The 13773-nt window shown below is 46.0% G+C and overlaps 1 protein-coding gene across 3 annotated transcripts in view; it reads left to right on the top strand.

Annotated features, from left to right (window-relative positions):
* XYLT1 (xylosyltransferase 1) overlaps positions 1–13773 on the top strand; it is a 369192-nt gene that overhangs the window by 18692 nt on the left and 336727 nt on the right. The window lies entirely within an intron of this gene.

The raw sequence follows: 13773 nt of genomic DNA, 5'->3' as shown, positions 1-13773 counted from the left end.
GGGACATTAAGAAAAATAAAGGCAGAAATTCACAAAACAGAATGCAAACACGATAGTATTAATTCATGAGATCCTTTAATGACCCAACCATACAAAGTGCTAATTTCGTTCCTCTTAGGGTTAGAATCTATGAATAGGCTGTAGGTTCCTTAATTCTCAATGCTTGCTCAATGCTTCTCTTATAGCAATTGAGTAAGGGAACCTGTCAGTAGCAGGAGGCACCACTGGTTTCATGTTATTAGGATGGGCGGGTTAGGGGAAGTTATCACTTAGCCTGCCCACATCAAAACACAGCACACTTCATGTACCTTTTTTCTGCTGATCAATTTCCTCTCATTTTTAAGAATAGTTAAGAATGGCAGAGTAGCTTATCATTTTGTAGAATACCTGTAGTGTCCTGCAGGTTCCCAGTGAACTTTCTCCCCAGTTTTCATGCCTTACTGTGTCTTGTAAAGCCAGGGTTTTCCTCATTACTGAGTGCCTTGAGCTCTGGGGAGCAGGTCCCTGGGGTGATGGGCAAGAGTCTTCTATCTCACTAAGCTCAAGGCTACTCCACAGCGGAAATGGGAAGCCGACCTTGTTGGTTTGGAATTGACTTTGATGTCCTCTCAGCAACAGCCATTGATAATCTACTGTGTGTCACATAGTAGAAGTTTTCTATGAGTGCATGCTTTACAGATGTACCCAGGATGTTTGCAGACACTTATTCATTCACTCAACAGATTTTACCAAGAGCCTACTAGGTGCCAGTCACTGCACGGGAGCTGGGGTTGGAGCAGTGGACAGAACGCGTTCCCTGACTTCCTGCAGCTCAGGTTCCGATGGAGGGGACAGTGAGTCAGGGAGAAGGGGAGGGTCATCTGGGAAGGCTTTTCCAACAAGGTGACATTTAAGATGAAACAAAGAGAAGATAGTCCGGCATGGATTGCGGGGAGAGGAGGTAAACAATGTGGTCATTATGACAAGGACATGAAAGTCATTTGGGAAGAAGGACAGGAACAAGAGCCTGCAGGGGCTTCCAGGCCACCATCAACTGTTTTCTGGGGTGAGGTTCCCAACAGCCCTGCTAATGGGTTCATCATCTCTGTTTTATTAAAAACCTAGAAAAGTTGACTGGTTTAGAAATTGCAAGATTTGGAGGTGGAACTTGAACACTTGCAAAAAGTTGATCACGTTCTTTGAAGACAAAAATCACTCTGTCCAACAACCTTCCCAGAGTCCCTCTGCAGTTATTATCACTCCACCTCCAATGAAAGAACATTTGTCCTTTGCATGCAACGGCTTTTTCGATTCCCCACCTGCCCCTGCAGAATGATGATGTCCCCAACTCGGAACTTCTCTCCCTCATCTCCATGTCAAAACTTACCTGTCTTTGGTCCTGTCCTAAGGTGTTTGATTTTGAGGGTGGTGGTGTCTTACACTCCCCTCAGCTTGGTAACACTGATCTAGAGAGATGGCAGATGGGGGCTGCCTGACCTGGCAGCAGTGTCTGTCTGTGATGGCGGGCTGTGCTGTGCTGGAATGTCTTAGTCTGTTTACGACGCAAGACAAAGTGATCTCGACTTTCAGGAGTCAGGATACCTGGATTCCAGAACCTGTTCTGTGTCTTGCTTGGTGTGGCTTTGGGCTGCCTGCCTTTCAGGTTCTCTGTTTCCCCGTCTTTAAAATGGTCTGAGGGATTCTGGGTCCCTTGTGCTCTGAACTTTTAGGTCTCTTGTGGTTACCTGTGCCCTGATTGCACATGTCTCTTCTTCCAGCCGTGTGTGTGACCCACGTGTCCTTTCCCACTTCCATGTGTACGTGGCTGTTTTGGTGTGATTGTCTGCAGAAAAGAGTCCTTTCCTCCCAGTACCTCCCACTTCTACCTAACAATAAACTCTAGAATCCTTCTCACCTTTTTTTTTTTGTTTGTTTGTTTGTTTGTTTGTTTTGAGACGGAGTCTCGCTCTGTTGCCCAGATTGGAGTGCAGTGGCGCAATCTCAGCTCACTGCAACCTCTGCCTCCTGGGTTCAAGCGATTCTCCTGCCTCAGCCTCCTGAGTAGCTGGGATTACAGGCGCCTGCCACCATGCCTGGCTAATTTTTGTATTTTTAGTAGAGGTGGGGTTTCACCATGTTGGCCAGGCTGGTCTTGAACTCCTGACCTCAAGTGATCTGCCTGCCTCCACCTCCCAAAGTGCTGGATTACAGGTGTGAGCCACCACTCCCGGTCCTTCTCACCTTTTATTAGTAACTGCCATCACCATCATAGCTGGTCTTGGATTCATTAACTCCATCAGGTTATTCCCAGTGGTGGAAACAGTGAATGGCACACAATAGGTGCTCAGTAAATATTTTTGTTTCCTTCAGAAATTGCCTGAAAGATCAGATGAGATGTCTTAAAAGTGAGAGCTATGGAACCCCACTTTAAGATGACATTTTAAGATCCAAAGGCCAAAGATATTCTAGAACAAGGAATCATGCCTTGTTCCATGGGTTCTTGTCAGCTCCTCACCCATACTGATGGCACCTTAAGGTCCACCTGTGTTCTTAGTAGTTGATGCATAGTCCTGTTGATGATGATAAATAATAGTAATTAGCAGCTACCATTTATTAAGCACATACTACATGTTAGGCGTTTTATATTTAATGCTTCCAACACCTAGTGTTGTCAGCATTGTCAGAGTCACTGTTTTATGGACAGAGGAAGTGAGGCACAGAGAGGGGAAGTAACTCTCGCAAGGTTGCACAGCTCCCCACAAGCCCGTGTGCATAACCACCACGTCACTTGATGCTAAGTCCCGTTGATGGGACTGAAGACCAGCCAGACAGGGGAGGCGCCCTCTTCCAGGTGCTGGGCCTGCCCCGTCCCCGCAGCCCATAGGGGAAGTGTCCACAGCTGCAGGCCTGGCAGACACCCAATCTTCTCCTACCCTCTCCAGGGGCTGCTGTTCTCCATGCCCGTGGAATTGCTGAGATCCTGCAGACAGCAGTGAGAAGCTGGCTACTGTCGTCAGAGCCTTTCCCCAGGATGGGGCTGCAGATTTGGCCCCAGCCCTCCTTTGGCCTGCTCAGCTGGCCTGGGGCAGCAGGAGAGAGTGGAAGAGAGGCATGAACTTGCTTTCATCAGAGGGAGCCCAGGGCATGCTCTGTGGGTTCAGAGGAACTTCCTTGGGCGTGTGGGTGAGACCAGGCATGGCATGACACTTATATGCCACTTCCTTCTCCACCAAAACGTCCCTCTTTGTCTCAGTTGGTGGAATGAAGTGCAATGCAGTAGAGAAGCACGGGGACTTGGCGCCAAGGTGCCGGAGTTCGCAGCCTGGCTCTGCCACCCAGCAGCTGTGTGACTGAAGTCTTTGTGCCTCAGCTCCTTCATCTGTAAAATGGGGATGATGATGAACCCACTTCAAAGGGTTGTCAGGAGAAATAAATGAGTTAATACATGCACCTCATTTAGCACAGTGTCTGGGCCTGTATTAAGCACCATAACATGCTGCTGCTGCTGCTTCCTCCTCCTCTTCCTCTTCCTCTGCCCTCCTCCTCCTCCACCCTCCTCCCCTTCCCCCTCTTCCTCCTCCCCCCTCTTCCTCCTCCCCCCTCCACCTCCCCTCACCCTCATCTTCCATTATTATTATTACTGTTGATTCTTGTAGGAGGAGGAGGAATTGGATGAGGGAGATTTGCCTGGTCAACTCTGCCTCTTCCTCTCCCTCCTTCCTCTGGAGCTGTGTGGGGACTAGATTGTGTTGCTGGCTGTGTGGCCTGCGGTCAGTCACATAGCTTCTCTGTATGCATTTTCCCACCTAAAATGAATACAGCAATTGTAATAATGATAATAATGATAATATGCTTCATTTTAAGATGCACATTTTTTACTGTGTCGCCCAGGCTCACAGCCATTTTATTTTATTTTATTTTTGAGACAGAGTCTTGCTCTGTCTGCGCCCAGGCTGGAGTGCAGTGGCGCAATCTCGGCTCACTGCAACCTCCGCCTCCCGGGTTCAAGCAATTCTGCCTCAGCCTCCCAAGTAGCTGGGATTTTAGGCATGTGCCATCACGCCTGGCTAATTTTTGTATTTTTAGTAGAGATGGGGTTTCACTATGTTGGCCAGGCTGGTCTTGAACTCCTGACCTCAAGTGATCCACCCGCCTTGGCCTCCCAGAGTGGTGGGATTACAGGTGTGAGCCACCACATCTGGCCAAAGATACACATTTTTAATATTTAGTAAATAGCCTTTCTGAAATCTGGGATGAATTTTACAATTGATGTGTATGTTTCCTTAATGTTTCAGCACACACCCTTTTGCCCCAAATTGTTATTCAATCAATGATGCATGTCACAAGCGACAGGGTCTTACAATGAAGCACAGAGGCCACAATGTCCACAATGTGCCAAGCAAGGTACTGGGTGTTTTTTAAATGCCTCATTTTTTAAAACTCTTACTGCAGCCCCAGAAGTAGTACTCATATTCTCCCATTTTACAAATGTGGACATTGAGGCTTAGAGGGTGAAAAGTGGCTTTCGTGGAAGGTCGCTTGTTCACACAGCAGAGCTGCTATCCAACCACCCTCCATGGGTCTTACGACATAGGCTGAAACTCTTTTTCCAAGAGCATCCCATAAGCACCTCTCTCCTTCTCCCTGGGATGTAGGAATATGTTCCTAAAGACAGCTTCAAGCTTCTAGGATGGAAATGCTAGTGGTAGTCTTAAAATATGAGCCCCTGCCAAGTTCCAAATGTCTTTGACCCATGAACTCAGCAGCAGGACGGCATGTCTGGGAGACCCTCCCAAGTCATGCTTTGTGCAGGACACAATGTTTTCGGAGCTTAAAGCGTTTTATAAAATAATGTGGGATTTGTCCCAGAGCCTGGCACAGGGTCTAGAATGCTTGAGTCCTGTTTTCCAGTTGGATTAAACTAAGGTCAGACATTCTGCCCCAAGCCTGAAATGTATCACGTGGGCTGGGAGCAGCCCCTGGCTGTCAGGTCCCTCCCAGGCTACAGGCACCCAGGGGACTTCCCATCTGTCTCTCTGTCCTGTGTTGAGAGTGATAGTGGTTGGTGGGCATTGGGAGGGTCTTAGGGAAGAGAGGAAATAAATAGCAGGCCGCTTGGTTTAGAGCAGGGCTGTTGGGCAGAGTCCAGAAATTATCTTGCTAACAGTGACAGTCTATGAGTTGGTGGGGAAGCGAGGTCGTGAATAATTGATTGCTGCTAACTGAGTTGTGAAAACCATTTTCGGAGATTCGAATGTGGAGGCTCTCCGAAGGAGGGAGGGATGGAGGGGAGGAGGGGGTGGGTGGGAGAGTAGACAGGGATGAGAGCGTCCTCTTCCCTTGAGTCCAGAGGTCCCTCTTGGGCTCCCCTGGGTCTGGTTCAGCGAGTTTGGCTGCAGTCCCCCGCACTTGAAAATGGCCTTGGCTGACCCTGGGCCCTGAGAAGGGAGCAGCGGGTGGCCTCAGCTCTGGTTGGGTTGGGCTGTTCCCCGCTGAGGGTTGGTTGAGTCTCCAGGCTGAGTGGGAGTCCCCAGACTTTCACCAGTTCAGAGCAAATCTTTTGAGTCTTTAGAAGGAGTTCCTTGTAATGCAGACGATGGGGTCTTCGCCTACCTCCTTCCAGCCTGATCACCTGCAGAATCGAGGGAAGACATGGGTGTTTCTGAAAGCAGGTCTCACTCCCAAGACTGGGAGGGGCACTGTGTTTTCTGAATATGACACTCTGGGGCTTGTTGAGCCATTTTTTTTTCCTAGAAGAGGCAGCATCACCTGTTGATGGAAACCAAGAGCCTGGGTTTGAATCCTGGATTCACTCCTTCCTAATTGGATGAGCTTGGAGCAGTCAGGTTCCCTCTCTCTGCCTCAGTGTGCCATCTGTAAAGTGAGGATGACAGTGGTCCCTAATCTGAAAGGTTATTGTGAAGAGTCAATAAGTGAGCATTTAAAGATGAAGTACATAAATACATCTATATATCTGTGAGACTGCTGTTGTCTCACTTAGTCATCTTTATTTATGTATGTATTTATTTTTGAAACTGTGGAGCATGGCTTGATGAGCAGCTCACAGAGGCTGGATTTCTCCCTCAGCTGGACACCTTTGTGCAGTGCCCAGCCTGCACAACTGGGCTTGGCAGCCCTTTATAGGATGTCACCTATATTAAATAGCAGGTGGTTGCTCTCCAAAGAAATCTTGCTCTCTCATTTTCAAGCCTGACGAGCTTTTCTAGATCTCTCATATCTATAGGTGCTCACCCAAGTCTACTGTTTGACCGACCACCGTGGCCCGAGCCTGAGTTTCCAGCTGGGAGTTGGAATAGACTCTTGAGCATCCCTCGAGAGGCAGGGTGCAACACATCACCACAAGGCCTGGTGCCTCCTGAAGAGCGGTCTCCCTGCTAGTGTCCAAACTTTGTAAGAGTTCCCCCTCTTTATCCCATTAAAAATAAACACCGTTTTCTTCACTCACTTCAGCTGCTGAATGGTGCCCCTGAGAACAAGCGCTTGTGTTTCCTCCCGTGGGCTCCAAAGGGAGAGGAATAAACAAACTATAAACAGCTGTTTCTCCGCTGGTGACGGGATTCAGACAATAGACCCTCCACGCGTGTTAATCAGCTGCCTTTTCTGAGGCGAGTTTGCATTGAGGCCACAGAGGAGCCTCCATGCTGGGGCGGCACTGGGTGGAACTTCCTGAGCCAGTAGTGAGAGTCGCTCAAAAGAGCCCAGCCCAGGCCTCCACGCAGCCCAGGTGAGCCCGGGGCCTCTCTAGACAGATGTTCTGGCAGCTGCCAGGAAGGGCTCCCAGCCTTCCTTTCTGGTGACTTCTTGAGAGAGGCCCTTGGGCAGAAGAGTGGCCTCCAGCCGACTCACTCTATGTGGTCACCTCTTTCTTTAACAATGGATGGTGCTCACTCAAATGCCATTCATCTGACAAATATTAATATTTATGGAGCAGCCTCTACGTGCCAGGCACTGGGCTAGGTTCTTGGGACGTATCAGTGAACAAGTGTGGCTGATGCCTGTAATCCCAGCACTTTGGGAGGCTGAGGCAGGAAGATCTCTTAAGCTCAGGCTCCTTGAGACCAGCCTGGGTAACATAGTGAAACCCTGTCTTTCCAAAAATCAAACAATTAGCCTGGCATGTTGGTGCCTGTGGTCCTAGCTACTTGGGAGGATGAGGTGAGAGGATTGTTTGAGCCCTGGAGGCAAAGGTTGTAGTGAGCTGAGATCGTGCTACTGCACTTCAGTCTGGGTGATAGAGTGAGACCCTGTCTAAAAAAACAAATGGTGTCCTCCCTTCATCCATTCACTCTTCTAACCCATTTTTATTTTACCAAATATTTAGTGAGCACCTACTATGCTCCAGGTGCCATAGCTAGGTTCTAGGGACACATCAATGAACATTTGAAAGTGCATGTCTGCCCTTTATCCATTCATTCCCTCAGTCTGTATTTTGACAAGTACTCATTGAGCACCTACTATGTGCCAGGCACTGCACTAGGTTCTTGCGACACATCTGTGAACATTTGAAAATATATGCCTGTCCTTCATCCATTCATTCCTTCCAATAGTATTTATTTTAACAAATATTTATTGAGCATCTACTATGTGCAGCATGCTCTCCTAGGCACCTACAATAAAATGGTGAGCTGGGCATGGTGTCTTGTGCCTGTAGTCCCAGCACTTTGGAGGCCAAGGCGGGAGGATCACTTGAGACCAGGAATTCCAGACCAGCCTGGGCAACATAGTGAGACTCTGTCTCTATTAAAAAAAAAAAAAAGAAGAAGAAGTTAGCTGGACATGGTGGCATGTGTCTGTAGTCCCAACTTCTTGGGAGGTTGAGGCAGGAAGATCACTGAAGCCCAGGAGTTTGAGGTTACAGTGAGCTGTGATCACCATTGCAACCTGGGTGACAGAGTGAGAACCTGTCTCAAAAAGACAAAAAAAGTAGTGAACAAGATAGAAAAGGTCCCTATACTCCAGTACTGAGGGTTAGACTGTAAATTATAAACATATAAATAGGATTAGTTTAGCAATTAGTGGTCTTCTAAAAACCACTGTGTATTAGACGGTGACTATGGTGGGCTGAGACTTGTTTGGCTGGGATGACCAGGGAAGGCCTCCTTGAGGAGGTGATATTCGCACTTACACCTAAACATGAAGAGGAAACATTATGAGGACCTCTGAGGAAACAGATTTCCAGCCAGGAGGCACAGAAAATGTGAAGGCTGGAGGAAGCTTGGGATTCAAAGAGTTGATGAACGGCCAGTGTGCCTGGTGGTCATTGAGTGAGGGGAGCCTGGTGGGGGAAAGGAAGAGGGGTCAGTGGGTGAAAATATGGGGAGCTTTGAGATTGAGACCAAAGCAAGGAGTTTGGATTTTATTGAGAGTGTCATGGAAAAGTATTGGGAGCTCAAAGCAGGAAAAGGATCAGCTTTGAGCTTTCAAAAAGAAAACCCTCTAGTCTAGATATGATGACAAAGTGCAAAGCAGTTTGGATTGGATCCTGGAACAGAAAGAGGTGTGTATTTATATAATGTCCCACTCCTGCTAGATAGGTTAAGACCCATGGGGTTAGGTGATTAGTTGTATCACTACGTTTCTAATGCCTGTCATGTAGCAGGAACTTAATATATGCTGTATTAGTCCATTCTCACACTTCTATAAAGGTACCACCTGAGGCTGGATAATTTATAAACAAAAGAGGTTTAATTGACTCACAGTTCCGCATAGCTGGAGAGGCCTCAGGAAACTTACAATCATGGTGGAAGGCAAAGAGGAAGGCAGGCACATCTTACATGGTGGCTGGAGAGAGAGACAATGCAGGGGAAACTGTCAGTTTTAAACCATCAGATCTCGTGAGAACTCGCTCACTATCATGAGAACAGCATGGGGGAAATCACTCCCATGATCCAATCACTTCCCACCAGGTCCCTCCCTCGACACGGGGATTACAGTTCGAGATGAGATTTGGGTGGGGACACAGAGCCAAACCATATCAGATACTATATCATGTATGTTTATATTTTATATCATACTATATATACATACTATAAAATGATGATAATATAGGTAGCAAGTACTTACTGAGCATTTACTATTTGTCAGGCACATGCCAATTCCTTTGCTTCAATTAACTTTTAATCTCTGCCACCCTGTGAGGTAACTACAATTTTCATACTTATTTTACAAAAGCATTTAAGACCCTTGCCTGAGGTCACAGAGTTGAGTCGAGATTTGCACCCAAGCGGTCTGCTCCAATGCGTCCAGTCCTCAAATGCTGAGCTAACTCTGCCTCTCATAGAGTGAATGCAGAATGAATCAATAATTTGTATCATCTTTGCTGATTAAAGTAACACACGTTCACCGAGAAACATTTAGGAGATGAATATGTGAAGAAGAAAATCCAAATCCCCTATATTGCCACTCTCAGTTTAGTTTTGGAGGAAGGTTAAGCCATGAAGTTGCTAATTTGAGTAGGAATAAGGCGATCTTGTTTTTGTCTTTCCTCCAAAAGAATGAGGATGCAGAAAGCTGGGCTCAGGAGATGGGGAAGAGGGAAGAGAGCTGCAAAGGCTTATTGGAGGATGCTCTGCAGTTCTTCCCAGCATCCCCTGGGGTGGTCCTTGCCCCCTCTCTCAAGGTGGGGGAATCCATGGGCTCATTGAGAATCCAGAGCTGTGGAACCTCCAGGGTCTAAAAATGCTCCAGGCAGCCTGTGGCAGTGATAAGTCTGCAGAGAGTTGAGGCTCCTCAACTTAAATATGTGGGGCAATATGTGGTGTTAATCTCATTCAGAACCGCCCTCACAGACACCCCAGAAGAATGACCAAATATCTGGGCACCCCATAACCCAGTCAAGTTGACACCTAAAATTAACCATCATGGAGGTGGGGGGTAGGTGGGCAAAAATCACTTTAACACTTTTGATTCTGATCTGCAATGAGTTGTAAGCTCTGCACTATCAATTTGATAACAGCTTTTTTAGTCAGGGTTCTCCAGAGAAACAACCAATGGGATGTATATGAGACACACGCATACAGTTTCATTATAAGGAATTGGCTCATACAAGTATGATGGCTGAGAAGTCCCAAGGCCTGCGGTGGCAAGCTGGGTCCCAGGAGGGCCAGAGTGTTGTTCCAGTCTGAAAACCAGCAGTCTCAAGATCTGGGAAGGGCCAATGTTTTCATCTGAACTCAAAGGCAGGAAAAGACAGGTTTCCCAGCTCAAGAAGCCAGGCAGAGGAGCTCACCATACATGGGGGTGGATCAGCCACCAGTGCAAATGTTAATCTCAACCAGAAATATCCTCAAAGACACCCCAGAAGAATGTCTGACTGACTATCTGGGTACTCTGTGGCCACATCAAGTTGATACATTAAATTAACCATCACAGAAGGGGATGGCAAAAATAACTTTAACGCTTTGACGTTTAAGCTCTGGAAGCTCATTTTTGGGTCACGTGTGGAGGGTTATTGTAGAGAGCTGGATCTTTATCCTCCTTTTGATAATGATCCTATCTTTATCCTCAGCCATTATCTGACACTTAGTGTTGCTGAGGATTTCCTGAGGGAGACTTAATCTTATTCAAGATCTGTTCTTGCGATTGCTACTTAGAGTACCTGCTATTTAAAAAAATCATCCAAGAATTTGAAATTTAAGGCAGGACTTTAAGGAATTAAAACAAGAGTCCAAAGTCCCAATTCCCTTGAGGCCAGGAGAAGTAAGTTGGTACTCTAGGACAGGTGCAGGGCGATAGGGAATGGTGAGGACTTTGGTGGACAGAAGAGCAGAGGCAGTGGACTGTTGCTTCTTGGCTCCACTGCCTGTGACTGTAAGAGAATCAGGCCCAGGGTTATCCATTCTTTCAGGTATTAAAAGCAACCGGAAATTTCCTTTTTTTTAGTGCAATATTTAATAAATATTAACAACTAATTCAGTTTTGTGTTTTTTTCAGTAACACCCTGTGTGGCCAAACAAAACATTTCAGTGAGCTGGATTTATCATAAAGGTCTCTATATAACCACTTATGAATTAAATTATGATAGTGATAATAACAATAAATGATAATTTTTCCTGTCGTCCCAGCTACTCGAGAGGCTGAGGCAGGAGAATCGCTTGAACCTGGGAGGCGTTCTGTCGCCCAGGCTGGAGTGCGGAGGCATGAGCTGAGGCACTCCAGCCTGGGTGACAAAGCAAGAATACATCTCAAAAAAATTAATGATAATTTTGACAAAATATGTAACATTTGTTTGTTTTATTGTGTGCCTGGCACTACTCTGAGTCCTTAACTATATTATCTCATTCAGCCATCAGAACATAGGTAGGCACTGGTTATGCCCGTTTTACAGATGAGGGTCGGTACCATGCTCACAGCCACGCCATTAGTAAGTGTTGGAACTTAGCTTTTCTCGTTCAGCCACCTTTGCTTTAGATTTCTATGCAGTGCTGACTCCCCTGACCCAAAGTGTGAAACTTACCCCTACTGGACTTCTCCAGCCTGGGTTATTATAGATCGTAGCAGAGAGCAGTAGTCCATGGAGAATATTACACTAGGAAGCTTATATTTTATTTAGGCAACCATAAACCATGCTAATCACATTCAAATACAAATGCATCTATTCCTTTCATTGACATGTGAAGTGGAACTTAGTATCCAGATTCTGCAGATGAACGGATAAGATTCCATTTCTATTTCAAGGCCACACAGTTCATTAGGGGCAGAGGGGGCACTGGAACTCAGGTCCACAGGCCTCTAAGGCTCATGGTCTGCTACTTGTTCATGTAATTAAGATCAAAGAACGAGAAAGAGCTGATAGAAATGGCTGACATTGAATGCAGTTGTGCTGACTGTAATTATGTGTGTATGTGTACATGAAAATTCTCATCCAGGAAGTCATTCTGATACTTACCACTTATTGTTTGCCTGTATGGGTGAGCAAGCAGCGTGCTCTGGTTCAGTGCATCTCTTGAATCTTTGCTTTCTCAATGAATATGTGTTAATTAGAAAATGTTATGAAGGTTATCAGTTCATTCTGCATTCATGTTGACGGCCAGATCTTTGGTCTCATCTGAAAGTTCTACTGGGGAGGATTTGCTTCCAAATTCACTTACGTAGTTGTTAGCTGGCCTCAGTTTTGCATGGGCTGTTGCACCAAGGGCCCCAGTTCCTTCCTTGCTGGCTGTTAGCTGGAAGCCTCTTACAGGTCCTAACCATAGGGAAGCTCACAACATGACAGTTGGATTCCCCAAAAGCCAAGGATCTAAGAGAGAATATGGGAGAGACAGCACCTAAGATGCACCTAATACGCTGCAGTCTTTTTAGAACCAAACCTTGAATGTGGAATACCATCACTTCTGTATTTTTTCTGTTTATTAGAAGTGAGTGACTAAATCTGGCTCACATTCCGGATGGATTTGGGTGGGAGTGGGGATACTGGAGTGGGTATCCTTGGGGCCATCTTAGGAGCTGCCTACTACAGGTACCTTGGCACAATTTAAATGACATTGAATCTTATAGGAAGTGGTTGAGTCAAAGAGGAAGTCTCGGTTTGTTGTTAGCACATCTTTATCACCTTTCTAAAACTTGTCAGTTTCCCTTTTTAACAATGGAAAGCAGACATTCAGAACCTACTACTACAGTGTTTTCTAGCCGGATTACAACAGTACCATTCCTCCTTTCTTTTCTTTCTTTTCACATTATCTTCTGTTTAGGGCTTGTGTCAACTCATTTTTCATTTGGGATGCAGGTATAAGTTTCTCTTTTAAATATATTCAAATAAACATTGCATAAATAATAGCACACAATACATGCAGATATGGCAAAATTATGTCGGTCTTTGGAAGGATGACTGTAATTTAGGGAGCCGCTCTTTTCCACTATCCAACAAGAAGTGACTGTTTCTCTGGGAGCGGCTGGTTTTATCTGGTTTCTGATGAGGTTCTAGAGGGTAGCAAAAAATCTTTCACCCATCTGTCCGTCAACTTTGTTTGGGGATAACTGGAACTCTGTGTGACCAATTCTGAGGCTGCATCTGAGTTTAAAGGCAAAGTTCTGCAATCAACTAGCCATGTCCACCATGGATGCAGGAGGAAGAAATTGTGCCACGTATGCCATGTGCCTGCCATACTTGATCTAAATCATTGCTTCACTAACTTTTAGCCACTATGATGATGACAATGATTTGATAACAGCTTAAATTTCTGTATTTACCAGAATTTACCAATATTTCTGTATTGCACTCATCCTTATGACAACTCTTTAATTTCAATGATCAGATCTAATTTATAAATGAGAAAACAGACATGGAGGTGTACTGACTCATACAAGATCACCTAGTAAGTGAGCTGTTGAGCTTGGATGCTGATATGGTTTGGCTCTGTGTCCCCACCCAAATCTCATGTTGAATTGTAATTCCCAGTGTTGAGGGAGGGGCCTGGTGGGAGGTGATTGGATCATGGGGGCGGACTTTCCCCTTACTGTTCTCGTGATAATGAGTGAGTTCTCATGAGATCTGATGGTTTCGAAGTGTGTAGCACCTCCCCCTTCACTCTCTCTCTCCTGCCACCATATGCTTGCTTCCCCTTCACCTTCTGCCATGATTGTAAGTCTTCTGAAGCCTCCTAGCCATGCGTCCTGTACAGCCTGTGGAACTGAGTCAATTAAATCTCTTTTCTTCATAAATTATCCAGTCTCAAGTTGTTCTTTCTAGGGATGCGGGAATGAACTGATACAGATGTGAACGCTGGTAGTCTGATTCAGGCACCCATGCTATCAGTGTCTACCTTACATATAGTC

The sequence above is a fragment of the Homo sapiens genome, chromosome 16 (assembly GCF_000001405.40).
Source record: "Homo sapiens chromosome 16, GRCh38.p14 Primary Assembly".
Lineage (NCBI taxonomy): Eukaryota > Metazoa > Chordata > Mammalia > Primates > Hominidae > Homo > Homo sapiens.
Note: the sequence above shows the minus strand (reverse complement) of the source record. Positions and strands in the feature narration are given on the sequence as shown.